Source organism: Homo sapiens, chromosome 17, assembly GCF_000001405.40.
Source record: "Homo sapiens chromosome 17, GRCh38.p14 Primary Assembly".
Lineage (NCBI taxonomy): Eukaryota > Metazoa > Chordata > Mammalia > Primates > Hominidae > Homo > Homo sapiens.
Genome location: NC_000017.11, coordinates 20,293,559 through 20,320,260, shown reverse-complemented (window position 1 = coordinate 20,320,260; position 26,702 = coordinate 20,293,559). Strand labels below are relative to the sequence as shown.

The following is a 26,702-nucleotide window of genomic DNA, read 5'->3' as shown; positions in this document are numbered from 1 at the left end:
GGTGCGCGCCTGTAGTCCCAGCTACTCCAGAGGCTGAGACAGGAGAATCGCTTGAACCCGGGAGGTGGATGTTGCAGTGAGCTGATATCGTGCCACCAAACTCCAGCCTGGGCGACAGAGCAAGACTCCGTCTCAAAAAAAGAAAGAAGGCAGGAGAGAACGAAGGAAAGAGAAGAAAAGAAGGAAGAAAGGAAGGAAGGAAGGAAGGAAGGGTGACAAAGAAGAATCTAGAGAGCACTCAAATACTAATTCTTGAGGACAATTAAGACAGATCGCATTATGAAAAACAGATTTTGTCACTGAAGCCTCAGGGCTTCAGCCTAGATCCTGCGCTGCTCACCCACAGAAAGCCAACCACTGAGATGAGTATTGCAAAGGAAGAAGGCTTTAATCAGATGCTGCAGCCGAGGAGATGGGAGCTCAGTCTCAAATCCCTCTCTCTGACCAACTAAAATTAGGGATTTTTAGTATAGCAAAGAAGAAATGTAACTATGTTTAAGAAAACATGAACTAGGAAGGGGTAAGGAAGCAATCATTTACAAAATATCTGTGGCCGGGCGCAGTGGCTCCCACCTGTAATCCCAGCACTTTGGGAGGCAGAGGCGGGTAGATCATGAGGTCAAGAGATCAAGACCATCCTGGCTAACATGGTGACCCCTTGTTCTCTACTAAAAATACAAAAATTAGTTGGGCGTGGTGGCACGTGCCTGTAGTCCCAGCTACTCGGGAGGCTGAGACAAAAGAATCGCTTGAACCCGGGAGGCGGAGGTTGCAGTGAGTCAAGATCGTGCCACTGTACTCCAGCCTGGCGACAGGGCTAGACTCCATCTCAAAAAAAAAAAAAAACCAGAAAAAGAAAAAAAGTATCTTCACCCTGCCTCCTCAATCTTGGCATAATTCCCCCTGCGAGTGGTTTCTGGGGTCTCAGTTGGCATTTAGTCACACATTGCACATATCGTGTGCACATCTGCACAGCTCAGCAGTGTCCTGGGTAGGCCTTGAAGGGTGATCTTCACGTAAGCCTGTGGCCTGAGCAAGAAAGCTGCACACGGGCAGCGGAGGAACCAGCAGGAGCCCAGTCCTCTGTGGAAAATTCCAGCACCACCCGCAAGAGCAGCTGCAGTGGAGACTGTGACCCGACAAGGATATATGCATGAAGATGCTGGTCTGAAAACAGACTCAGTTTAAGGGTGGCACTTTGAAAAAATATTGATAAATGTCAGTGAGAAAAAAATAATTAGAAACAAAATATATTTATTAGAAATATTACAGTCATTTATCATACACTTTCCTATGAATAGTTAAATACATCTAATTAGCATGTCATATCCAAAAGTGCTGGGTACAATCTAGTGTGCTCTTTATAGACACGAGGCCACAGATGTATCAACTACACTCAACTAATGTAGTTAAAGTTAGTGTGCTAAAAAAAAAAATTAGTGTGCTATTCAGGATGCTACAGATTTAGCAAAATTCTAACCTGGATCAGAGGAGTGAAATGCCCCGTGAATTGAGGCAACTGTAGATATTCGAAATGCTTCTAAAAAGGCTGTGAGGTTATGTCCTTTACTGCATGTCATTGGTAGGTCATCTCAAAATGGCACTCGAGCTTTGGAAGGGTGAGAACTATTGCTAGATTTGGTAGGGGGTCTGCATCTATGGGCCCGAGTCCTCCATCTCCACAAGCTGCCCCTCAGTGGGGAAGAGGAGGGGGAGGCTAAGGGAGTCTCCGTAACGTTTGTGGGCAGCAGGGAAGAGAACATGGCAGAGATTCCTCACCGCTGGATGGCTTGTCCCCTGGGGATGTGTGTTTTTATCTAACACCCACCTGCATCTACTTGGGTTGGTCTCTACAAAAGCTGTAAAACAAAAACTGAATGAAAAAGGAAAATAAAAGACTAATATTTTTGAAATGAGAAGGGGCTAGGACAAGAGAAGCTCCTGAGAATGTTATCCCCGCAGGGCGGGGGCCATGGGTTACCATCAGACAAGGAAAATTCAATCCATGTTCAATGCAGAGAACAGCGACTTCTCACCTTGAAAAACTCTCCAACTCTACTGGGGCTTGCATTTTGCAGCTGTCTTTCATGTAAAAATGATACATTAAAAAAAGGATCTTCAGAACAACTGAAGAATTTTAAATGACTACTGGCTGAGGGAAGATGGAAAGAAATGTGGCTGTTGTGGTCTTTGAAATCCTCAGGACAGAAACTGGGAATGGCACACTCTGCTGAGTATAGAAAAAATAAGATGCTGACCTTGTTTTCCTGCCAACTTTCCACCTTCACCTGGTGCTCTGAGCTCTGTTAAAAACAGACCTAAAAACCCTACCCCTTGGCCTAGCTGGGTTGGGGACTGCCTCCCCCAGGTCCTGCACCTCCACACGCCAGCGGATGGCTTGGGGGAGCCCTACTAGCTGCTGTGCTAGAAGGCCTATTCCTGGACTCCTGAGGCCATCAGTCACAGTTCCAGGACCCCAGCAGAACCTTCCCTTCCCCAAAACACCACCTGTATTTCTTTTTTTTGTGTGTGTGTGTGACAGGGTCTTGCTCTTTGGCCCAGGCCAGAGTGCAGTGGCACAAACACAGCTTACTGCAGCCTCAAACTCCTGGGCTCAAGTGATGCTCCCACCTCAGCCTCCCAAGCAGCTGAGATTACAGGTGCCTATCATTGTACCCAGCTAATTAAAAAACAAAATTTTGGGCCAGGCGCGGTGGCTTACCCCTGTAGTCCCAGCACTTTGGGAGGTTGAGGCAGGCTTATCACTTGAGGTCAGGAGTTCAAGACCAGCCTGGCCAACATGGTGAAACTGTTTCTACTAAAAATACAAAAATATGCCAGGCATGGTGGCATGTGCCTATAATCCCAGCTACTTAGGAGGCTAAGGCAGGAGAATCTCTTGAACCTGGGAGGCGGAAGTTGTAATAAGCCAAGATCACACTACTCTAGCCTGGGTGACAGAGAAGTGAGACGCTCTCTCAAAAAAAAAAAAAAAAAAAAATTTTTTTATAGAGTCAGAGGTCTTGCCATGTTGCCCAGGCTGGTCTCAAACTCCTGGGCTCAAGCAATCCTCCCACCTCAGCCTCCCAAAGTGCTGGGATTATAGGCATGAGCCACCATGCCTGACCACCATGTGTATTTCTATGGACAGGACATGGCATTCCTCTTCTACATGCACACCACTGGCAAATAAAAAAAAAAAAAATGGTAGTCGGGGAAACTCCTGGAGTTGTAAAAATAAATTGTACATGGCCTTTCATGTTTCTTTCCTTCTTTTTAACCTAAAGAGAGCAGGATACAGACAAAAATGGGGGAGTTTGGCCACAGTCATTGGCAACTTGGGCTCCCAGTGGAGAGGGGCTGGTATGGCCCCAGCGGGGAGGGAGGGACACCGCAACGCCATTGCTCAGAGCTGGTTCTAGATGATTTACACGTAATCACTCAAAATAGAGCCAATCACAGGCCAGGTGTGGTGGCTCACTCCTGAGTGAGCTGAAATCGCGCCACTGGCACTCCAGCCTGGGCGACAGAGCAAGACTCTGTCTCAAAAAAAAAAACAAACAAACAACAACAAAAAAAACACAAAAAAACAGCCGGGCTCAGTGGCTCATGCCTGTAATCCCAGCACTTTGGGAGGCTGAGGCAGGCAGATCACCTTGCCATCAGGAGTTCGAGACCAGCCGGGCCAACATGGTGAAACCCCCTCTTTACTAAAAATACAAAAACATTAGCTGGGTGTGGTGATGGGCACCTGTAATCCCAGCCACATGGGAGGCTGAGGCAGGAGAATCGCTTAAACACGGGCGGCGGAGGTTGCAGTGAGCTGAGACGGTGCTATTGCCCTCCAGCCTGGGCAATAAGGATGAAACTCCATCTCAAAATAAATAAGTAAAAATAAAAAACAGAACCAATCACAGAAAACACCCACTCCCACTCCGGGTATCCCAAGACAGCAACTGCCTCCCCACATAAAACCCTGGACTAATTCCAGCTTAAATCTAACAACCAACAGCTCAACTCAACTACTTGGGATATTACTTTCCCCCACTTTAATGGTGGGCAAAGAAGAAGTACAGGGTTAATAAAAAAAAAATGCTTCAAACAAGTGCCTGAATCAGCAGAAGTAGTAACTTTCAGGTTGAATTGGTTCTATGTGTCGAGTTTCATTTAAATACAAAGGCATGGGTGATGTAATGACCATCGCCCAACAGCTGCTCAGGAGCTCCCGCAGGCTGCCTGCCTTGTGGCTGCCAGGGGAAGGTGTCCACCCCTCAGTGGTTCTCCAAGCAGCTGTGCTTCAGTCGCCTAAAGAACTTACAAAACATGTGAACTGCATCTCTGGTCCCATTCCAGACATTCTGAAGTTAACCAACTAGGGCAGCCAAGAGTGTTTTCAAAAGGGTCCACTGTAGGTTCTGATGCAGAGCTGCAGCTGGGATGCACTAACAGGGGGGCGGAGTTCTTGTCTCAAGGTGGCTTGAGAATCAGGGATCTGCTGACCCGTGCAGCCCAGTTGCCACCTCTGCAAAGGTCTGGCTTGGAGGAAGGGACTGAGCTCCTACCTCTCCAGGAATGGTAAGGGGCTGGACCTGCAGCCTCTAGAACCTGGCTCTGAACCAGTGGCTCAGATCAGCAATCAGAGATGTACTTTGAATAGTAATGGCAGTCACTGTCATTCTCGGTGACTCACTGGAAGGATGATCCTTTGTTGGAGGGGCGCTAACACGCTATTTGGCACTTAAAACAGCAAGGGATGGGCATTACCCATTTCCCTCAAACAACTGTGTGAGCCACGCCCTCACTCGCTGTGTAGTGCACACAGATCCGCCCAGAAGAACACGGCAGAGCCACCAGATGGGCACTCGGGCCGGACTGAGCACTTCTGAGGGACTGGGGCACCGCTGGGGAGGGCTCTGCTGCCACTTAAGGTGACCAGTAGGATGCTGGGGCAACTGCATTCTTCTTTGTTAGTTATAAATGTGCCCTCACCGCCCACCCCTAAGGGCTTTTCCCATGCCGATGAAAGAGGCCTGGGGAAGCACTAAAGGCCAAATCAGTCCAGAGCCGAAATACTGTTGGGATTTGCTGTCAGCCCAGCATCCCCAGAGGCACACACCCTCAGCCTGCTCAACCCTGTAAAGCAGACACAGGCCATTCACACATGTGACCTCCTGTCAAGTTCTGTGGGGTACAAGCCTGTGTGGATGTGAACGGGAGGGTAAACGAATGGGAGGACAAAGGCGCAGGTGACGAGGACTGCGGTTTCCCTACTGTGAAAGCCGCGAGCTGCTCAGGAGCACACAGACTTTGGTGGCAGAGGTGTGGGGCACCTCCCAGGGACTCCAGCAAAGCAGCCAGGGGCTCCCTTGCATTCTCACAGGCTTTCCTTTTGCTACAATAAATCAAATAAGGGATGGTGAGAGCTAAAAGTGAATCAAGTTCCAGGTGTTAACATTGTTACCTAGAACTCCCATTTTTCCCCAAAAGGCTGAGTGCGCACGCACGTTTCCAGGTTGCCCTGGAACAAATGTTTATTTTTTGTGTTTTGTTGTTTTTTTTTGGGGGGGGAGGGGGGAAGGGAGGGTTCACAAGGGCAAAGTTTTGGGTTTTATCATTTTTTTGAGACAGGGTCTGGCTCTTTCACACAGGCTGGAGTGCAGTGGTATGCTCATAGCTCACTGCAGCCTCGAACTCCTGGGCTCAAACGATCCTACTGCCTTGGCTTCCTAAAGTGCTGGGATTACAGCCACGAGCTACCACACCCAGCCAAGGGCAAAGGTTTCATAAAGGCAAAGCCGGGATATTTTTAACAACAGCAACCAAAAGACTGATTTGGAGATGTTCTTTGTCTGAATTTCTGCAGATAATGTGTTCGTTCAGCCACCCAATATAATCAGCAAAACAAGCCTGGGTGTGGGGTCTTGGTCTGGAAGGAGGGAGGCTGCCCTCTTTAGAAGCATCCCACAAGAGATCAAAGAGTCCCCAATTTACAGTCCAGCTGCATTTGCATTTCAGACAGGTACATCGTGGGACCCACTCTGTTTCTTATTTGGGTGTTGGTCCACTTGGATTGAGCCTGTCTTTGAAGTCTAGGCAGCTGGGTGGTGGGCAGAGCAGGGTCAGTGGACAGTAATCAGGCGCTTCCAGGAAAAGCTGCAGTAGGTGGCAATGGTGGCTGCCCCAGGCCCTCCAGGGTTACGTCTCAAAGTACTTGTAGATTTGGGCCACGTACTGCATCACACTCTGCCAGTCGGGCCGGTCTGTGTACAGCATCTCGCTGAGTTCCTGCAGGGGAAGGGAATGGGGGACAGATCACAAGGCAGGACATCACAGACCCCTTCCCCTCAAGGACTTCAGTCCAGGTTAGGGCTTACACTGCCTGGAAACCCTCCACTTACACAGACAGAACGTGAAGGCCAGCACAGGTGGTGCTGAAAGCGATGAGTTAAAGGACTTTTCCTCCCACTTATTCAGGAGATACTGTCCCTTTCCAAAAACGGAAAACATGACCTCCCACTGCTTTTATCTTTTAACCATATGACAGCATTTAAACAAGTTTTAAAAAGCAAAAATCACCCATAATTTCACTATTAAAATGATTTCCAAGTTTCTAAATTACATTTGAATCCACCTCTAATTCCCCAGACTCCCAGCACACTGCACGCGCTATTACGTGGGCTGTGCCATTACGTGGGCTGAGCATTTCACACCCGGGTCCCCGTGCTGCTGTGCCACTGTGCGGGCTGCCATTCTAGTGAATGTGCACTCACCAGGGAAACTGCTGTCCACAAGGGACATGGCATCCAGTGTACGCTCACCTCGTGACCACCACAGACTCTGCAATCAGCATCTTTGTGCAGTATTGTTTCCTTCTGTCGAACTAGTCCCTCAAGATAAATTACTGAGTGGGATTATCACAAAAGCCTTGAACCAATTTCAAATGCAACCATTTATTTTACCAGCATTGTTACTACTTAATGTGTTTTTTTGTTTGTTTGTTATTTAATACAGTTTGGTGATTTTTTGGCTTATTTTTATTTTACTTTTGCTAATTTGCTGGTTTTTACTGACTGATTTATTTTTGTTCATTTTGCAAGTAAGCTTGTAATGAGCATGCATAACATCCAGGCCAGAAAGGGAGGGGCAAGAGGGTGGGCATCCTGTCAGGCACTCAAACTTTTCTGAAATTTGTGCCACTGGACATATTTAATAATTAACTTTGGGATTGAATTTGGATTCTGTGTGGTTAAAAGAGAATAGTAGGAAAGGACCCTGATGTAAAGCCAGAAGCAGAGATGCCATGGAAAAGTAAGGCTGAACTTAGCACATCAGTTCCTGGGGGTTAACAGAGTTGGCTGAGGCTGTTAATGAGCCATTCATCCCCTGATTCAAAATCTGAACAGACTTCACTTATTCTGCTCCCTGGTGATGCTAAAAAATTATCAGCCTATCATTAGTCATGGGAAAGGAGTGGAAGAAGAGTTGGTAGAACATTCCGTGCAGGTACACCTAGAACAATTTTAAAAGAAAAACAAACTTTCACAGAATACAAGAATAGAATGTCTCCTTCTACCTACACTGGCTGTAGTCATGACTGCACACAGACTGAGGCCTGGCAACCTAAAATCCGTACCAAGGAGTGTTGCTAACATGACTTACAGAAAGGAACTGATGAAGAATTGGGCATGCAATTTGGACATAGATGAGCTCTGGGAAAAGAAGGGATACCTACAAACACAAGAGAGATGGCACACTGCACACTTTCCTCTGTATTATGGAAAGGGTGTGTCTTTAATCTCAGAGAGGACTCCGAAGTCCAATCAATATTCAGTTTTGAGCAGACAATCTTACATGCTTGAACTTCATAACTGAACTAAAAATATTTAGTACATTGTTAACATATTTGAGAATTTGTGAAAAGATGTTATACATTTCAGAAGACAGAGTATGCTGCATTAGTAACAATCTTATAGTGCATGACATTTGTTTGAATTAGTAGTTAAGACCCTCCAAAAGATACCAGACCCAGATGATTTCACTTGTGAATTCTATCAAATACTTAAGGAAGAAATAATACCAATTCTACACAATCTCTTCAAAAAATGGAAGAGGAGAGAATAATTCCCAACTCATTCCAGGATCCCAACATTATCCTGATACCAAAACTAGACATAAACATTACAGGAAATCTACATGCCAATTTCTCATGAATACACAATCTATTAACCTATAAAAGTATAATACATCATGATCAAGTGAGGTTCATCCCAGGAACACAAGGCTGGTTCAACATTTGTAAACTGATGTAATTCGTCACATTAACTAACTGAACAAGAAAAACCATATGATCAAATCAACAGATGAAGAAAAAGCATTACACAAAATTCCACAATCAAGATAGTTTTTATAGGTGGTAACTCTCAACAAACTAGGAAGAGAAGGGAACCTCTTTTACCTAGCAAAGGATATGTATAAAAAACCAACAGCTGACATCATACTTAATGGTGAAAGACCTGAACATTCCCCCCGTAAAATCATGAACAAGGCAAGGATGTCCTTTCTCATCTGTCCTATTTAAAACTGTACTGGACTGTAATCCCAGCACTTTGGGAGGCCGAGGCGGGTGGATCACCTGAGGTCAGGAGTTCAAGGCAGGCCTGGCAAACATGTTGAAACTCCGTCTCTACTAAAAATACAAAAAAATTAGCCAGGCATGGTGACAGGTGTCTATAATCCCAGTTACTCAGGAGGCTGAGACAGGAGAATCACTTGAACCCAGGAGGCAGAGGTTGCAGTGAGCCGAGATCATGCCATTGCACCCCAGGCCTGGGTGACAGAGCAAGACTCCATCTCAAAAACAAAAACAAAAACAAAAACAAAAAAAAAATGTACTGGAAGTTCTAGCTAGTGCTAAACGGCATGAAAAAGAAACAAATGGCACGCAGATTGGAAAGGGAGACATAAAACTGCCTTTATTTGCAGATGATATGATTGTTTAGAAAAATCCCAAAGCATTTACATGCAGGTTTAGCTAAGTCTCAGGATACAAGGTCAGTATACAAAAGTCCATTGCTGTCCTATGTACCAATTGAACAACTGGATTTTGTAATAAGAAAAACAATAACATTTACAATAGCACCAAAAAAAAAAAAAAAAAAACCCCACTAAGGTCTAAATCTAACAAGGTATGTGCAGAAGGCAGACACAGCTGTCAGGGTGGTTGACGGCATGCGCTCTGGAGCTGCCTGCCTGGCCTTGCCTCTTGCCTTTCCCGCTCATAAGCCATGTGCCTCAGTTTCCTCTTATAGAGTGCATCCACCTTGCAGGACCTCCATGAGGGTCCAACAAGTCCTTGCATGAAAAATGCCCAAAATGGTAAATACATACAGTAAATATGAAAAACAAAATGCTTGTCACACAATCAAGCACAAATTAGCTATTTAAGCACAGCTCATTAAGTTTACACTTGCAGAGTAGGCCCAGCCATGCCTCAGGAATTGCTGCATGGTGACCTCCCTCCACGGGGGCATGCCAGCACCCAGTCCTGCAGCAGCTGTCCTGGTGGGCATGCTGGCACTCAGTGAGCAACAGCCCTCATGGACTACATGGCCTGGTAAAGACACAGCAGCCCTGGGGACACATGTTTTGGCCGTTTTTATGACAGTGACATCACATATCGTCCCTCGCCTAATTCCTTTTCTGGGGAGTTGCTTGCATCTGTAATTGGGCTGGCTAAGATGCTCTCCTTACACGGTGGCTGAGAAAGAACACTTTCTAATATCTGGGGAACACTATAGAGCTTCATTTTTAAAGATCTCATCATCTCACACCAGTCAGAATGGCTATTGATAGAACGTCAAAAAGTAACAGATGCTGACAAGGCTGTGGAGAAAAGGGAATACACTCTTGGTGGAAATGTAAATTAGTTCAGTTACTGTGGAAGGCACTTTGGAGATTTCTCAAAGAACTTAAAACAGAACTACCATTTGACTCAGCAATATCATTACTGGGTATATATCCAGAAGAAAAGAAATCGTTCTATCAAAAACACATGCACACTTATGTTCATCACAGTGCTAGTCACAATAGCAAAGACATGAAATCAACCTAGGTGTCCATCAACAGTAGACTGGATAAAGGGCCGGGCACAGTGGCTCATGCCTGTAATCCCAGCCCTTTGGGAGGCTGAGGTGGGTGGATCACCTGAGGTCAGGAGTTTGAGACCAGCCTGGCTAACATGATGAAACCCCATTTCTACTAAAAAAAATACAAAAAATTAGCTGGGCATGGTGGTGCGTGCCTATAATCCCAGCTACTCAGGAGGCTGAGGCAGAAGAATTGCTTGAACCCGGAAGTCGGAGGTTGCAGTGAGCCAAGATTGCACCATTGCACTCTATCTTGGGCAACAAGGCGAAATTCCATCTCAAAAAAAAAAAAAAAAAAAAGAAAAGGAGAAAGAAAACCAGTAGACTGGATAAAGAAAATGTGGTACATATATACCATGGAATACTATGCAGCCATAAAAAGAACAAAATCATGTCCTTTGCAGCAGCGTGGATTCAGCTAGGGGCCATTATCCTCAGCAAACTAATGCACAAACAGAAAACCAAATAAGACATGTTCTCACTTATAAATGGAGCTCAACATTGGGTAGTCATGGACATAAAGATGGGGACAGTAGACACTGGGGACTACAAGAGGGAGAAAGGAGGGAGGGAGGCAAGGGCTGAAAAACTATCGGCTACTATGTGCCTATCTGGGTGACAGGATCACTCATATCCCAAACCTCAGCATCATCCAGTGTACCCATGTAACAAACCTGTACATGTACTCCTTGAATCTAAAATAAAAGTTGAAATTATAAAAATAAAGATCTCATCCTAATATGTTATACCCCAGAAACTTATATTTACTTGAATATAAACATATAAGACAATTTTCCTGGCATAATCTAACAACAGAACTTGACTGAAGATTTGGGGATTACTGCTGTCACTTCTGACTGGGTGTAGTTTTAAAGTGTCATGTGTAATTCAACATACTGGATTTTCCAATCCACATCAAGGTACTGAAAAGCAAATTTAAGAATGTAGGAAATTTCTATTTTGTTGGTGGAAAAAGCCGGGAAAGTGCTCACAAACACTCCTAAGTGCCTTTGAGATTAATTATCATGTGTGTCAGCAGCTCCTCACAGACCATCCACACCAATGAAACCCCTGGCTCTGACAATTAGGACAACAAAATGACCTCATTCACTTCCCAGCTCACTAACTTCTATAGCACATTAGATGAAAATTAAGAAAAAGATATTATATTTAAACAGAAGTAAATATTAATTACAACACTACAAAGAAAAATGTATTCTGTGTAAAATATAATCTTCCAACAAGGTCTCATTGTATCTTTATCCTTACCTGATCTCTCTGTTGGTACTCCTTAGTTTTGTTGTTTCTGAAGGGAGATCCCTGCTACTCCACCCTGGTCAGATGTGTAAGTTTCCTCACACCTTTTTAAATTTCCCAGACTTGTAAATACACAATAGGGATATCTGCGTCTTAAAGATTTAGCAAAATCTGGGCTGATGGGGATATTTTTTCTTTGTGTGTGTGACTACATTTTAAAGCATAAATTCAACCTCTTCAATGGTTAAAGTTTTATGTCTTCTTAAGTTTCATAGGAATATTTACATTTAATATTTGAAGAAACATACTTGTATTTTTCTAGAAAACTGTCCATTCTGTTTCAAAATTACACTGGCATAGCACTGTTCATGGTGGTAAGATTTCACAATAGATGTACATTCACTTTTTCATTTCTCAGATTCCCCACATGCTTTGAGGGTTATGGAATTTTTTTTTTTTTTTTTTTTTTGAGATGGAGTTTCGCTCTTGTCACCCAGGCTGGAGTGCAATGGTGCAATCTTGGCTCACTGCAACCTCTGCCTCCTGGGTTCAAGCAATTCTCCTGCCTCAGCCTCCCGAGTAGCTGGGATTACAGGTGCCCGCCACCACACCTGGCCAATTTTGTGTATCTTTAGTAGGTACGGGCTTTCACAATGTTGGCCAGGCTGGTCTCAAACTCCTGACCTCAGGTGATCCACCCACCTCAGCCTCCCAAAGTGCTGGGATTACAGGTGTGGGCCACTGCACCCAGCTGGAATTGTTATCTCATTTTTATTTCAACTTAGATTTTCCCAATCCCTAATGAGATTGAACATCTTTAAAAATCCTCATTGACCATTCATCATCATCATCTGTGAATTTTCTCTTCTAGTCTTTGATAATTTCCTACTAGGTTGTATTTTTATTACTGGTGAGCAGAAATTTTTAATAGATTATCTGTCTTTGCTTTTTCTGTAGTTTCATTACAATATGTCTAGATGGATATTTTGTTTTATTCATCCTGCTTGAGATAAATAAAGAATCTGTGGACTCTTTCATTATCCTTTCATCATTCTGGAAAATTTTCAGGCATCATATCTTCAAATACTGTCTCCATTCCATTCTTTCTATCCTTTTCATCTGGAATTCCCTCTGGGCATGGGACATGGCCATTGTCTGATTTTTTTTGTCCCTGTCTCTTAAACTCTGAGACAGACACTATTATTTAGATAGCCCAACAGTCATTCCCAAGCTCTCTCCCTCGCAGGCTTCCCACTAAAGAAACTGAAAACTGTTCATATGCTCACTTCCTCAAATGCCCTTGCAGCTGGGGACCATGTAACAGAGTACTGCCAATGAGCTGGAGAAACCCAGGGAGCCTTTCACTTTCATTCTTTAAAGGGAAAGATAGGAGGCACTTGCTCTCTCTCTTCCCCTTCTTCCTGCCCTGTAGGTGGAAGTGATGTCTGAAGTTTGGCAGCCACCTTCAACCACAAAGAACAAGCATGGGGACAAAAGGAACAGATTAAAGATGGTGAGAATGGAGAGGAGACACTCTGGGGCTTTGATTACAATACTGAGTGGTGAACCAGTTCTAAAACTACTATTGTTAAGAAAATTAACATTTTTATGGTTTAAGCAACTGCTGGTTGGGTTTTCCATTTCTTGAAGCTGAACACATACTAATTCAACCTTACCATTATATTTTATATTTTTTAATGTCTCTTTTATATTTTGGGTGATCTCCCTGTATTTATTTTCCAATTTAGTATTTCTCTCTTCTGCTGTATCTAATGAGTTTGGCAACACATATTGTGGTCTTAATTCCAATTTTTCATTTCTAGAAGTGTTAGATTCTTTTTACAAATCTCTTTTTTAAATAGAATCATTCTTTCCTTGTGGTTTCTATTCCTCCTTTTATCTCTTTCATGTTTAAATAGTCTTTTGGTAGTCTCTTATTTATCATCTCAAGTTCTGGTAGATAATCCTTTTGTTTGCTATATCTGCTGACTAGCTCAAGTAGATCATTTTCTCAAGTGTTCTGTTACTTTTTAGCAGCCATTGTAGTATCAGCCCAGGGGCTTCCTGCATCTAAGAGTATACTAAGGGCTTCATGCAGCACAGATATTATAAATTTGGACTCTAAACCTCATCTGGCCCTGTTTCCTTTCCTTGCAAGAGACTCTCTCTCTTTTCTCTCTCTCCTTTTCCTCTCTCTGCGCGCACGTGCGCACACAATCCCAGGTGGAAACCAGCTTCCTTATCACCTCCCTGGGCTGGCTGGTGGAGTTTTAGAGATTTCTGCTTTCACTAAGAAGATCAGCATGTTGTGAGCCTTGGCTTTATGCAGGCTTGCTGCTTGCTTGGCCCACCATCCCCCACCCACCCCTGCCGAGTTTTGCAGGCTCAGTTGTGCCTGGTTTCTGCTTTGTTTTACATTTCTGGCATCTGGGTATTTCCCATTCTTTATTAAGAGCTTAGCTATGTGTTGATATTTTTTAACATAGCATTTTATTCAGATTTCTAGGTGTTCTGAACAAGAGGGCTCTAATAATAATTCAGTCCACTGTGTTTCCAGAACTGAAATTTGTCCATATGAAATCTTATGCGATTGAAAATCTCTAAATCATATGTTGATATGTGATTATATCAACTGGATAACTCTATATTAGGTATTGAGAGCAACAGACTTTCGGCAAACAGATGTCAATGTTCTACGAGAAACTGTTTATCAGATGGCATAAAGTCATTTCTCATACAATTAAAGTATCACAAGGATACAAAATAGGATACGTACCAGGCTGGGTTTGATGCCTACACTTTCAGCCGCTTCAAATGCCAACAAGAGATTCCTCTTCTAAGTTAAAAAGACAAAGAGACTGGAATCAGTAATTTAAAATATATAGCTTTTGCCAGGAAAGAATATCAACTGATATTCCCATATAGATTATTCACTATTATAAAGCGAAGAATAGTAAGTCAAGTGTACAATATTTGATCTCAGTTTAAGAAAAAAAAAAATCAACAGGTTGCAACTGCACCAAAACTAACATTACTGATTGACACCTATCAAAGATAAATTTTTGTTTACCTTTGTCAAGATTTAGGTAATTCATACTTTGCAAGATTTATGGCATAAACATTCTGTTGCATAACAAAGTTGCTTAATCATGATGCTATATCAAAAAAATTATCAAAGTAATAAATGCATATATTATAGTATATATAGATTGTATTTAAATCAAATGAAAACCTGTTCCTTCCTTCAATCCTGGTCCTTCAGAGAACTACCTTTCAATTTCTGTTTAGTTATGGATTATTTCCGTATCTCTGTAATATGCTAATACGACTACTACTTGATTTCTAAAATGAAGGCATTTTCTACTGACTTCCTCCAGGACATATGAGGACTCAGGCACCATGCATCTGCCTCCTCCTTACACTATAGACACATAGCTAATTTTAGTGCCCGTATTAATATTAGCTATGTTTGTGACCTTAAATAATATCCTTGAACTTCTATTTTTTGTCCCACTGGGTATGGACAACACTTCCTGACTCTACTTTGTATGTCAGGAGTAAATTACCCTTTCTTCCCTCCACCTGGTCAAGTTGTACATTGTCACAGCTGAGAACCTTTGCTTCCTTCCCTGGAAGCACATTTAAGTCCTCGGCGCTCTCTGACTAGAATGATTCTGGAAGCTGAAAACCACAAGCGGCATCACAGAAGCCAGCTGTGGGCACGTGTCCTCTACAGCTCCACCATCATGACCTGAGCCACTCAAAGCATCATTTAAAGGAGTTCCTCTGTTACTCTACCAGTCGCCCAAAATCACCCCACATTTTAGTGTGCCCCAGATTTGGACCCTGCCTTTCTTCAAAAGTTTGTTTTTTTCCTACAGTTTCTGCTTGTTTGGGGTTTTCCTTACTGGGAGGGGGGCTTTGTGCCTCCTTCTCATCTGGCCTCTTGCCCATTCTGACTGTTGCTTTTAAGTCCTAACATTCTCCTTGTGGCTGCCGCCATTCTATTCTGACACAGAGGGCCTGCCTCATAGTTGGACCCTGGCTTCCTCGCACAGTTTCTCATCTTCTCCTTTATCACAGCCTCGAGCTCTTAATCATCTCATCATTCTATGAAACCCTACAGCCCCAAGCCCTCCAGAACCTCACTGATTTTTGGATTTTACCCCCATTCTATTGCCTAGGTTCCTTCTTAAGAAAGAATATGGGGAGACACATTTTCTGGATGTATGAAAATTTCTCCTTTCTACCATCACGTTCAGTTAACAGGCTGGCTGGACAGGGAATCTGAGGCTGAAAATAATTTCCCCTTAGAATGTTAATGGTAGTGCTCCACAATCATTCAGCCCTAGTGTGTGGCTTCTTTTGGGGACTCTTCCTGGCTATTCTCTGATGTTTGTTCATCTAGATGAACCTAAGAATCATTTGTTCATGCTTCTCCCATTCCAAAATTCATTTCAAAATTATTAGGATTATATTAAAATTAAATTGTTATATTAAGTATAATTGAGATATAAATGTTTCTCTACATATTCAGTTTTAAGTTCCTCAGTGAAATTTCCTTTTTTTGAGATGGAATCTCGCCCTGTCACCCAGGCTGGAGTGTAGTGGCTTGAGCTCAGCTCACTGCAACCTCTGCCTCCCAGGTCCAAGTGATTCTCGTTTCTCAGTTACCTCAGTAGCTGAGATTATAGACATGCACCACCACACCTGGCTTTTTTTTTTTTTTTTTTTTTTTTTTGTATTTTTAGTAGAGAAGGGGTTTCGTCATGTTGACCAGGCTAGTTTCGAACTCCTGGGCTCAAGCGATCTGCCTACCTCAGCCTCCCAAAGTGCTGGGATTACAGGTGTGAGCTATGGCACCTGGCCATTATGTTCCTCAGTAGAATTTCTTAATTTTTTTTTTGAGATGGAGTCTCGCTGTGTCACCCAGGCTGGAGTGCAGTGGCACGATCTCGGCTCACTGCCACCTCTGCCTCTTGGGTTCAACCAGTTCCCTTGCCTCAGCCTCCCTAGTAGCTGGGACTACACGCGCCCACTACCACGCCTGGCTAATTTTTGTATTTTTAGTAGAGACAGGTTTTCACCACATTGGCCAGGCTGGTCTTGAACTCCTGACCTCAGGTGATCCGCCTGTCAAAGTCTTCCGAACTGCTGGGATTACAGACGTGAGCCACAGCACCTGTCCAAATTTCTTAATTTTGTATGTTTAGATTTTATACATAATTATGTATTTTAGATTTCATACATCATTTTATACCCTTTTCCATTTCCCCCACGGCTCTCACTCTCTACCCTTGCTTGAACATCTAGAGCCTGAAGCGACGGGTTTTCCCTGACACTGAAGCAAACTCTAGGCACCAGGTCACCAAAAAAACAGAAAGATGTAGCCACCACATTTTCTTCCAGTCTGTGGCCCATGCCTTGGAAAGCTGTTGATCTGTGGTGATCCTGCCCAAGCTGCCATGCCCCTTCCTTGAAATTAAAGGAAAGGAGCGGGCATGGGCTGGAAACTGCACACTTGTTACCCTAACACTACTCTGTTCTGCTGAGAGGGGAGCTGTGAACTCCTGGCTTCCTTCCATTTAGCCCAAATTAATGGCAGCAATCTCCTATTTTGGTGCTATTGAGGTCTTTGTGTTTACTTCAGTCCTTTTGGTTTTTAGCCAGTTTTTAGGCCACCATTATTCCAGAAGTCAAATATTTTATGGCTTTTAATATGTAATGCCAAACATTGCTTTCTAGAGCGTTACCCCAATTTTTGGCTCCAGCAATAGTGTATAAGTGGCTATTTTCCTGTACTGTCTCTGCCAAATGTATCAGGCTAAAAATATTTTATTGTTTTAATTTGTATTGATTACTAGTAAGGTCTAACGAGAAAGCATTTTTAAACTCAACGTTTTATGCAAAAACCTTCTAGTTTGATTCTAATGAAACCACTTGTTTTCTTTCCTCTTTTTTTTTTTTTTTTTTTTTTTTTAGATGGGCTCACTACTGCAGCCTCAAAATCCTGGGCTCAAGGGATCCCCCAGCCTCAGGCTCTGGAGTAGCTGGGATTACAGGCATGTTGCCACAACGCCTGGCACCGCTGTGTTTTCACAGTGTGCTGCATGCTGTTTCTTCTATGTTCAGTATCTGTTGTGAAAACACAAGCGGAGCAAGACGTGGTGGCAACATGCCTGTAATCCCAGCTACTCTGAAGCCTGAGGTGGGAGGATCCCTTGATGAAAAACTGTCTCAAAATACCCTGAAATAGTATACAGGGTGACATAGAATACAGAGAGGGGGTGGTTTTTTATTCACAACAGTAACTTTTATTCATTTTTGCAGCAGCAGAACATCTGTGACCAAGTGTTATTATCCCAATGCTCTTTCATTTGATCACTGTCACCACCACTGTGCAGAGGCCACCTGGGAGGCAGAAGCCACAGACAAGCAGCAGCTCCGAAGGGCCTCACTTCCCCCACGGGCTGTAAGCTTCAGATGCAGCTCAGCCCACAGGAGCCGGGCAGGGTGACGCCATCACTGCTTCAGTCTGCCCTGGTCGGGGGATGATGGTGCAGGCCTGGGACCTTCCAGTTCCAGGACAGCCTAAGTGCCCAACCTGTGGCAAAACTCTTAGTCACCAGCAGGGATTGAGGGGTTGGGCCCGTTGGGCCTCACACTCAAAACCGACGGGAGAAAGATGCCAATCCTAGAGTTCCCCCTCTCAGGGTCACACTTCATTCATTTCAGATACTGACATAAGCAAGGTCCAGTCCACTACCTGAGTCCGTCTGGACTAAGCAGAGAGTTGCAAAGGCGGACAAGTGAATGCCCTATCTTTTTACTGAAAACAATAAAAACAAAAATGGCTGGGCACAGTGATTCACCACTGTAATCCCAGAACTATTGGGAGGCCCAAGCGGGTGGATCACCTAAAGTCAGGAGTTTGAGACCAGCCTGACCAACATGATGAAACCCCATCTCTACTAAAAATATAAAAACTAGCCAGGTGTAGTGCCGTGTGCCTGTAGTCACAGCTACTCGAGAGGTTGAGGCAGGAGAATCGCTTGGACTTGGGAGGCGGAGGTTGCAGTGAGCTGAGATGGTACCACTGCGCTCCAGCCTGGGTGACAGAGTGAGACTCTGTCTCAAAACAGCAACAACAACAACAAAATGACAAAATCTTTCATGGACTGTAAATCGCACCCTGTGATCATATATCTCTTTACTATCATAGAAGACATGCTTGTTAGTTTTTATCAGAAATTCTCTACTTAATACCAATGTCAGACATAGTTTAATTGCTTCCATCCAGGTGGGGACACCTCATAATTTCTATACATTCTGGGCTATCAACAACTCTATCACATACTTTTTAGATTTTGATTTTAATAGTTTTACAAACATTAAAGGCTTCTCTTGGTGCCCTTTCTGATGTAAGTGTAAATTAAAAAAAAAAAAAAATGCCCTGGCACTGAGCACATAGGGGAACACGGCTCCAGGCTGGGGCTGGACACATGTGCCTCTCATCCTGATGACCCAAGGTATGTGCTGTATTCACATCCACTTGCTCCCTGTGAATCCCAGCTTCTAACACACTTTTAGGAAATCTTTCCTGCTCTTTCCCCTCTCTGCTCTAGTAAGATTCCCCCCGTGTGCTCAGTTTTATATGGTACGAGTCTGCCTGTTGGGATACGTTACTTTGAAAACCCACACCCGTAACTGTGATAGATATGGCCTCTCTCACCAAAAAGAACGCCAGCATCCCCCAGGGCAAGCCACACACCAAGAAGTGGCGAAATGTCACTGCAGCCACTGTGGCTCCTCCAGAGTGTGGCCAGGATGGGGCATTTAGGAAACAGGAGGCTGGTTGTTCCTTCAGAGAGTGGCAAACGGGCTGTAATTAGCAAATAAAATCCTAGGCTCTGGGACACAACCCAATTCAAGATTACTGTGAGGCCAAACAGATCCTAAAATGAAAAATTCCAGACATCCAGGGCTGACTCAGACTCTCATCACAGACCCACAGTCTTCCACACGCTGCCTTACACACTCCCTGGTGGTCGGGTGATTGGTCTGGGGAAGAAATTCAACCCTGCATGTAGGGAGCAGGGGCCTATACCATGGCCTCAGCCTGCCCCCACTGCATGCTGCCACGGCTGCGGGAGGCCTGGGCAGCTGGCGGAGCCTCTGCGCTCAGAATCGCAGAGACTAGGGCCAGACACAGGGGCTCTGGCCCAGGAGGCAAGGCTCACAATTTGGAGCCTGAGAACAAACACTTTTAGGTCCATAATTTTCCAATACAGCCATGCTGATTCAAGGACAAAGCAGCCAGTCTGTCTGGATGACTGCAGGGAGTGACGCACACACACTGTCAGGAGGACGTAGGTGTGTGCATGTGTGGGCTTCACCCAGCACAGTGTTAGAAAGGCCTTCTGACTATTTTCAGTGCTTTTATGCCCACTATTTCCTCAGTTATCTCTCCAACATCGTATCAGAAAAGCAGACACTAAGACATCAAGAGGGCAGGGAGGGAATAAATGCATAGATGACACCTGTGACCCGTGAGGCCGCTGAAGCCTGTGGCCCCAGCTCAGGCCACCTCTCTGGCTGCTCCTTCCTGGTCCCCTTTGCTGTGTCCTCCTCCTCTACCTCCACAACAAACACTGGGGTTCCCAGGTGTGTTCCTCGGTCCTCCCTCTGTATGCTTCCCTAAGACCAAGGGACTGGGTGCTCTCCTCCACTCTTAATGGCTTTAAATTCCATTTGTGCCCATGCTGTCCAACATGGCAGCCACACATGATGTGGTTATTTAACATGAAAATTGAAATTAAAAATTCAGTCTTCAGTCACATCTGCCACATTTCAAGTGCTCAAAAGCAGGTGTGGTTGGTGGTTGCCCTGTGGGCAGTGCAGATACACAACATTCCCATCATCCCAGGAACCTGCATTAGACAGCATGGATCTCTTCATGGACGACCCCCAGATCTGTGTTTCAAGCTCTGCTCTCCCATCCAGCTCCGGATTTGCTGTGCAATCGCCTGCCTGCCATCACCACCTGCATATTTCACAGCCCCTCAGACTTCACATGATTTAAATACAATCTTTCCCCCAGAATGTTTAATAATCCTGTACAGCCTGCTTCACAAACAAAGCACCCCACAGAAAAGTAATTTAAATATTTTAATACATTCTGTGATGGTTAATTGCATGTGTTAACTTGGATAGGCATGGCACCCAGATACTTGGCCAAATATTATTCTAGATGTTTCTGTGAAGGTTTTTTTTCTTTTCTTTTTTTTTTTTTTTTTTTTTTTTGAGACAGGGTCTCTGTCACCCAGGCTGGAGAGCAGTGGTACAATCATGGCTTGCTACAGCCTCAAACTCCCAGAGTCAAGTGATTCTCCCACCTCAGCCTCCTGAGTAGCTGGGATCTCAGATGTGCGCCACCAAGCTCAGCTAATTGAAAAAAAATTTTTTTTGTAGAAATGGAGGTCTGCCTATGTTGCCTAGGCTGGTCTTAAACTCCTGGGCTCAAGTGATCCTCCTGTCTCAGCCGCCCAAAGTGCTGGGATTACAAGTATGAGCCCCCACACATGGCCCAAGTTTAACATTTAAAGCAGGAGACTTTCGGCAAAGCAAATGACCCCAGTTAGTGTGGGTGGGCCTCATCTAATCAGGTGAAGGCCTTAAAAGAAAAGGCTAACCTCACTGAAGAAGAGGGAATTCCACCAGCAAATGGCCTTCACATTGGGACTGTAGTATCAGCTCTTCCCTGAGTCTCCAGCCTGCTGGCTTACCCTGCAGATGCTGGACTTGCTAGCTTCTATAATCTCGAGCTAGTTCCTTAGAATAAATCTCTCTCCCCAGCCCCCACCTCTCTCTCTCTCTCTCTCTACATACACACACACACACACACACACACTCTCTCTCTCTCTCTCTCTCTCTCTCTTTTGGTTCTGCTTTTTTGGAGAATTCTAACACCTTAAAAATTAAATTACTTTGCTCAGTTTTTGTCATTGCTATGATCCTTCTTTGTACTTTATTTAAATCCTGATGTGGGATAATCGAAACAGAGCTTTTAAACATATCTATGCCCTCCCCATCTCAGAAAATGGCCCTTTCAAACTAGACACCAGGGCGTCATCTTTGACTCCTTCCTCTCCTCCTCCCCTACAACCAATCTGTCACTAAATCCAGTTGATTCTGTCTGAGACATATTTCAAATCCTTCTATGTCTTTCCGTCTGCGTTGCTACCACCCTCATGGTTAGTGGGTGAGGCCAAACCAGAGCTGTGGGGAAGCTCTGTCGCCTCTCCCGCCCCAGACTCCCCAGATCAGCCCAGCTATGGGGGTCTGCCCCCTCCACTTCCCTGGATCAGCACAGCCTCTCTGGCCCCACTAACTGCATCCAGCCAACCAGCCTTCTTCCACGGCCTGGACAACACCAAGGTGTTCCCCAGCTGCTGCTGCTCCATAGCCCTGGCTCTGCACTGCTGCCTCCTCTACCTTCCAATGCCAGTTTGTTTTTCTTTTTTTTTTTGAGGAGTCTTGCTCTGTTGCCCAGGCTGAAGTGCAGTGGTGCGATCTGCCTCCCAGGTTCAAGCAATTCTCCTGCCTCAGCCTCCCAAGTAGCTGGGATTACAGGTGTGCACCACCATGCCCAGCTAATTTTTGTATTTTTAGTAGAGATGGAGTTTCACCATGTTGGGCAGGCTGGTCTTGAACTCCTGAACTCAAGTGATCCACCCGCTTCGGCCTCCCAAAGTACTGGGATTACAGGCGGGAGCCACTATGCCCAGCCCCAACACCAGTTCTGACATCACCGCTGCAGTCTCCCTGGTCTAAATGTGATCCCCGTCACTCTGTCTCACAGCACTGAGTTTCTCTCTGGGCTCTTAGACCACTTATCCTTGCTAATTTATAATTTTACTTGTTATAAGTCTACTCGCTTGCTTATTATCTGTCTAGCTCATGAGGGCATAGAACGTCTCTATTGTTGCCTGTTTTCTTATGATAGTGCCCGATGCTTGACAAGAAATTCTTGAGTGACCAACAGCGGGACCCAGCACAGTATTTTCCAAAGTATGCTCTGTGGGACATTTTGTAGGAGGTTCTAGGTCAGGGGTTGGCAAACTGCTGTCCCAAATCTGGCTCATAGCCTGTTTTTGTAAATAAAGGTTTGTTGGGACACAGCCATGCACATTCATTTACAAAGTGATCAATGGCCTCTTTAGCCCGATGGTAGAGTTGAACAGTTGTGACTGGACCACCTGACCCACTGAGTCTATTACGTGGCCCTTAACAGGGAAAATTTGCCAACCCTTGTTGTGTGATTGTAGTAAAACAAACAAATATAAGTAAAGAGGTTAAGTGGATCTGATCTATGCTGTGTTAAACAGTCACATAGATTTCTTAATGTAGGACTTCTTGAAGTCTTTAATGTGTTAACAGGCACCATGCTCTCTGAAAATGTGATGCAATATACAGTGTCCAAGACTTATTTGAACAGGGAATTCTTTTTGTTGGTGCTTGCTGGTTCTTTGGAATAGGCTTTGAAAAATGCTGGCCAAGGTCTTGAAACCATGAAGCTGAGATTCCTGAGAAGGGAAACTGAGGAAGATTTGCTGAGGATGGGATTCCACGGTGCAGTCAAACATTCAGGAGTTATCTGTACCTGGTATCAATATCCCAACTTCTACTTCAGGCCTGTAAGCCCCCTCCCACAGTGGGGTTTATCAATTAGGACTCCTGCATTTCTTAGAGGATAACCAAGGTGACAGGGCCATGACTTACTTTCTCCTGACTATTCAGCTCCTGGTAGGGGATGTGGGCAGGCAGGTAGGTGTGGAGCAGAGCACAGAAGGCCAGGCCATCGCTCCAGCTGCTGCTGAAATTGGTGATGTCAATGTTCTGCAGGAGAGAAAAGTAGTAATAAACAAGAACTATTGCAAACTGTGCAGTATCACAGATGAGGAAGATTGTGATAAGATGGGAATCTACACAAAATCAATGTGCAAAAATCACAAGCATTCCTATACACCAATAACAGACAGAGAGCCGAATTCACGAGTGAACTCTCATTCACAAATGCTACAAAGAGAGTAAAATACCTAGGAATCCAACTTACAAGGGATGTGAAGGACCTCTTCAAGGAGAACTACAAACAACTGCTCAACGAAATAAAAGAGGACACAAACAAATGGAAGAACATTCCATGCTCATGGATAGGAAGAATCAATATCATGAAAATGGCCATACTACCCAAGGTAATTTATAGATTCAATGCCATCCCCATCAAGCTACCAATGACTTTCTTCACAGAATTGGAAAAAACTACTTTAAAGTTCATATGGAACCAAAAATGAGCCTGCATTGCCAAGACAATCCTAAGCAAAAAGCACAAAGCTGGAGGCATCACGCTACCTGACTTCAAACTATACTCCAAGGCTACAGCAACCAAAACAGCATGGTACTGGTACCAAAACAGAGATGTAGACCAATGGAACAGCATAGAGCCCTCGGAAATAATACCACACATCTACAACCATCTGATCTTTGACAAACCTGACAAAAACAAGCAACGGGGAAAGGATTCCCTATTTAATAAATGGTGCTGGGAAAACTGGCTAGCCATATGTAGAAAGCTGAAACTGGATCCCTTCCTTACACCTTAGACAAAAATTAATTCAAGATGGATTAAAGACTTAAATGTTAGACCTAAAACCATAAAAACCCTAGAAGAAAACCTAGGCAATACCATTCAGGACATAGGCATGGGCAAGGACTTCATGTCTAAAACACCAAAAGCAATGGCAACAAAAGCCAAAATAGACAAATGAGATCTAATTAAACTAAAGAGTTTCTGCACAGCAAAAGAAACTGCCATCAGAGTGAACAGGCAACCTACAGAATGGGAGAAAATTTTTATAATCTACCCATCTGGCAAAGGGCTAATATCCAGAACCTACAAAGAACTTAAACAAATTTACAAGAAAAAATCAAACAACCCCATCAAAAAGTGGGCAAAGGATATGAACAGAAACTGCTCAAAAGAAGACATTTATGCTGCCAACAGACACATGAAACAATGCTCATCATCACTGGCCATCAGAGAAATGCAAATCAAAACCTCAATGAGATACCATCTCACACCAGTTAGAATGGTGATCATTAAAAAGTCAGGAAATAACAGGTGCTGGAGAAGATGTTGAGAAATAGGAACACTTTTACACTGTTGGTGGGACTGTAAACTAGTTCAACCATTGTGGAAGACAGTGTGGTGATTCCTCAAGGATCTAGAACTAGAAATACCATTTGACCCAGCCATCCCATTACTGGGCATATATCCAAAAGATTATAAATCACGCTGCTATAAAGACACATGCACACATATGTTTATTGCGGCACTAATCACTATAGCAAAGACCTGGAACCAACCCAAATGTCCATCAATGATAGACTGGATTAAGAAAATGTGGCACATGTACACCATCGAATACTATACAGCCATAAAAAGGATGAGTTCATGTCCTTTGTAGGGACATGGATGAAGCTGGAAACCATCATACTGAGTAAACTATCACAAGGACAGAAAACCAAACACTGCATGTTCTCACTCATAGGTGGGAACTAAACAATGAGAACACTTGGCCACAGGGTAGGGAACAACACACACCGGGGCCTGTCATGGGGTGGGGGGAGGGGGGAGGGATAGCATTAGGAGATATACCTAATGTAAATGATGAGTTAATGGGTGCAGGACACCAACATGGCACATGTATACTTATGTAACAAACCTGCACATTGTGCACATGTACCCCAGAACTTAAAGTATAATAATAATAATAATAATAATAGATGGGAATCTACCTTTGGATTTTTCAGTAAGGCAACATAAGAATAAACTTCCCAAATTTGCTCAGAGTACATTTTGTTTTGGTACCAGGAATGGCCTGGTGTTGCCCAAATCCATTCACAGAATAGTATTGAGGAAAAGCCTTCAGTGCTCAAAACAGTAGAGGATTTCTGTCCATCCCTCAGGAGAGTCATTAAAGGCTCAAAGATATCTTATTCTCAAATTAACCCACCTGATTAGTTTTGTACATGCCAGCATTTCCCAGACTTATTTGGTCAAGGAGGAATCACTACCACCACCACCATCATCAGTACCTTCATAACCATGACCATCATCCCCACCACCATCATCAGTACCTTCATAACCATGACCATCATCCCCACCACCGTCGTCATTACCTTCATAACCATGACCATCATCCCCACCACCGTCATCACTACCACCATCACCATCTCTGTATAACCCCAATTCGCAACAAGCAGACCAAGATGAGAAGGTCTTAAAGACCTACAAGACTGTCTCTGGATTGCTCTTCCTACCACACTCTTCTCCCCACAATGTAGGAGGCTTCTCAGGGGGAAAAGAAAACCCGTCCTGTTCAGCAGCCCCGTCAGCACACCAAACAAGCAGGGAGCATGAGGCTGCATGGGGAGAAAGAAGCTCCTCCATCGGGATGGGTGCAGCCCCCAGCAGCTGCTTGGTACACAGTGATAAGGAAACTAAAATCCAACTCTAGCTGGGCATGGTGGCTCACGCCTCTATTCCCAACACTTTGGAAGGCCGAGGCAAGTGGATCACCTGAGGTCAAGAGTTTGAGACCAGCTTAGCCAACATGGTTAAACCCCGTCTCTACTAAAAATACAAAAATGAGCCAGGTGTGGTGGTGGGCACCTGTAATCCCAGCTACTTGGGAGGCTGAGGCAGGCAAATGCCTTGAACCTGGAAGGCAGAGGTTGCAGTGAGCTGAGATTGCACCACTGCACTCCAGCCTAGGTGACATTCTGTCTCAAAAAAAACAAAAACAAAAAAAATTCAATTCTAAGTCCCTGCCCATCGAGATGGTGGCTTCTGAAGACTCCTGTACCGGTCCCCTAGGCCAGCTGGGGACTCCAGTGCATCCCCACCTCTTAGATCCTCAGTCCTGTCGGCCACCTGCTCACCCCAACAAGGTTTTCTTCCCTGGATCCACAAAGTTTGTCCCAAATGAAGCATCAAGTTCCCAAGCCTACTAAAGCTGGGAGCTCAGGTTGTTTAAGCAGGGGCCTTGCAAGAGATTGCAGAAGCGGGGCATAGCTTGGGCTTGGCTGAGTTTTAGGTCTGTGTTGGGTTTTGGGACAAGAAGAAATGGGCAAGTCTAGGGCTCCTTCCTGCACTCTCCCCACAGCCACTGAGGAGCTCTTCCTCTTCTTGCCCTGTCCTGGGAAATGTGAAGCCAGCAAAGTTGGAAAGCTGTGGTG

General features: G+C 44.4%; 1 protein-coding gene across 25 annotated transcripts in view, besides 1 other annotated feature; it reads right to left on the bottom strand.

Moving 5' to 3' along the window:
• The window catches only part of SPECC1 (sperm antigen with calponin homology and coiled-coil domains 1), a 309,668-nt gene continuing 284,200 nt past the window's right edge, over positions 1,235-26,702 (bottom strand). For 18 of the 25 annotated variants that reach the window (NM_001386083.2, NM_001386078.2, XM_047437065.1 and 15 more), the window contains 3 exons: positions 23,184-23,300; positions 14,179-14,238; positions 1,235-6,285 (listed from right to left, as the gene is read on the bottom strand). In NM_001386083.2, the coding sequence (NP_001373012.2) occupies positions 6,196-6,285; positions 14,179-14,238; positions 23,184-23,300 (267 nt within the window). In that variant the 3' untranslated portion in view covers positions 1,235-6,195. Of the gene's footprint in view, positions 6,286-13,128; positions 14,261-23,183; positions 23,301-26,702 lie in introns of those variants that run through there. The other 7 variants (XM_047437068.1, XM_047437070.1, XM_047437075.1 and 4 more) reach the window with 5 other exon arrangements.
• Positions 4,523-5,023: an enhancer, noted in NCBI's record as "H3K4me1 hESC enhancer chr17:20218551-20219051 (GRCh37/hg19 assembly coordinates)". NCBI's record gives its function as "activates a minimal SCP1, AML or CMV promoter by ChIP-STARR-seq in primed H9 embryonic stem cells {active_cell/tissue: H9 hESC(primed)}" and the evidence as "EXISTENCE:reporter gene assay evidence [ECO:0000049][PMID:30033119]".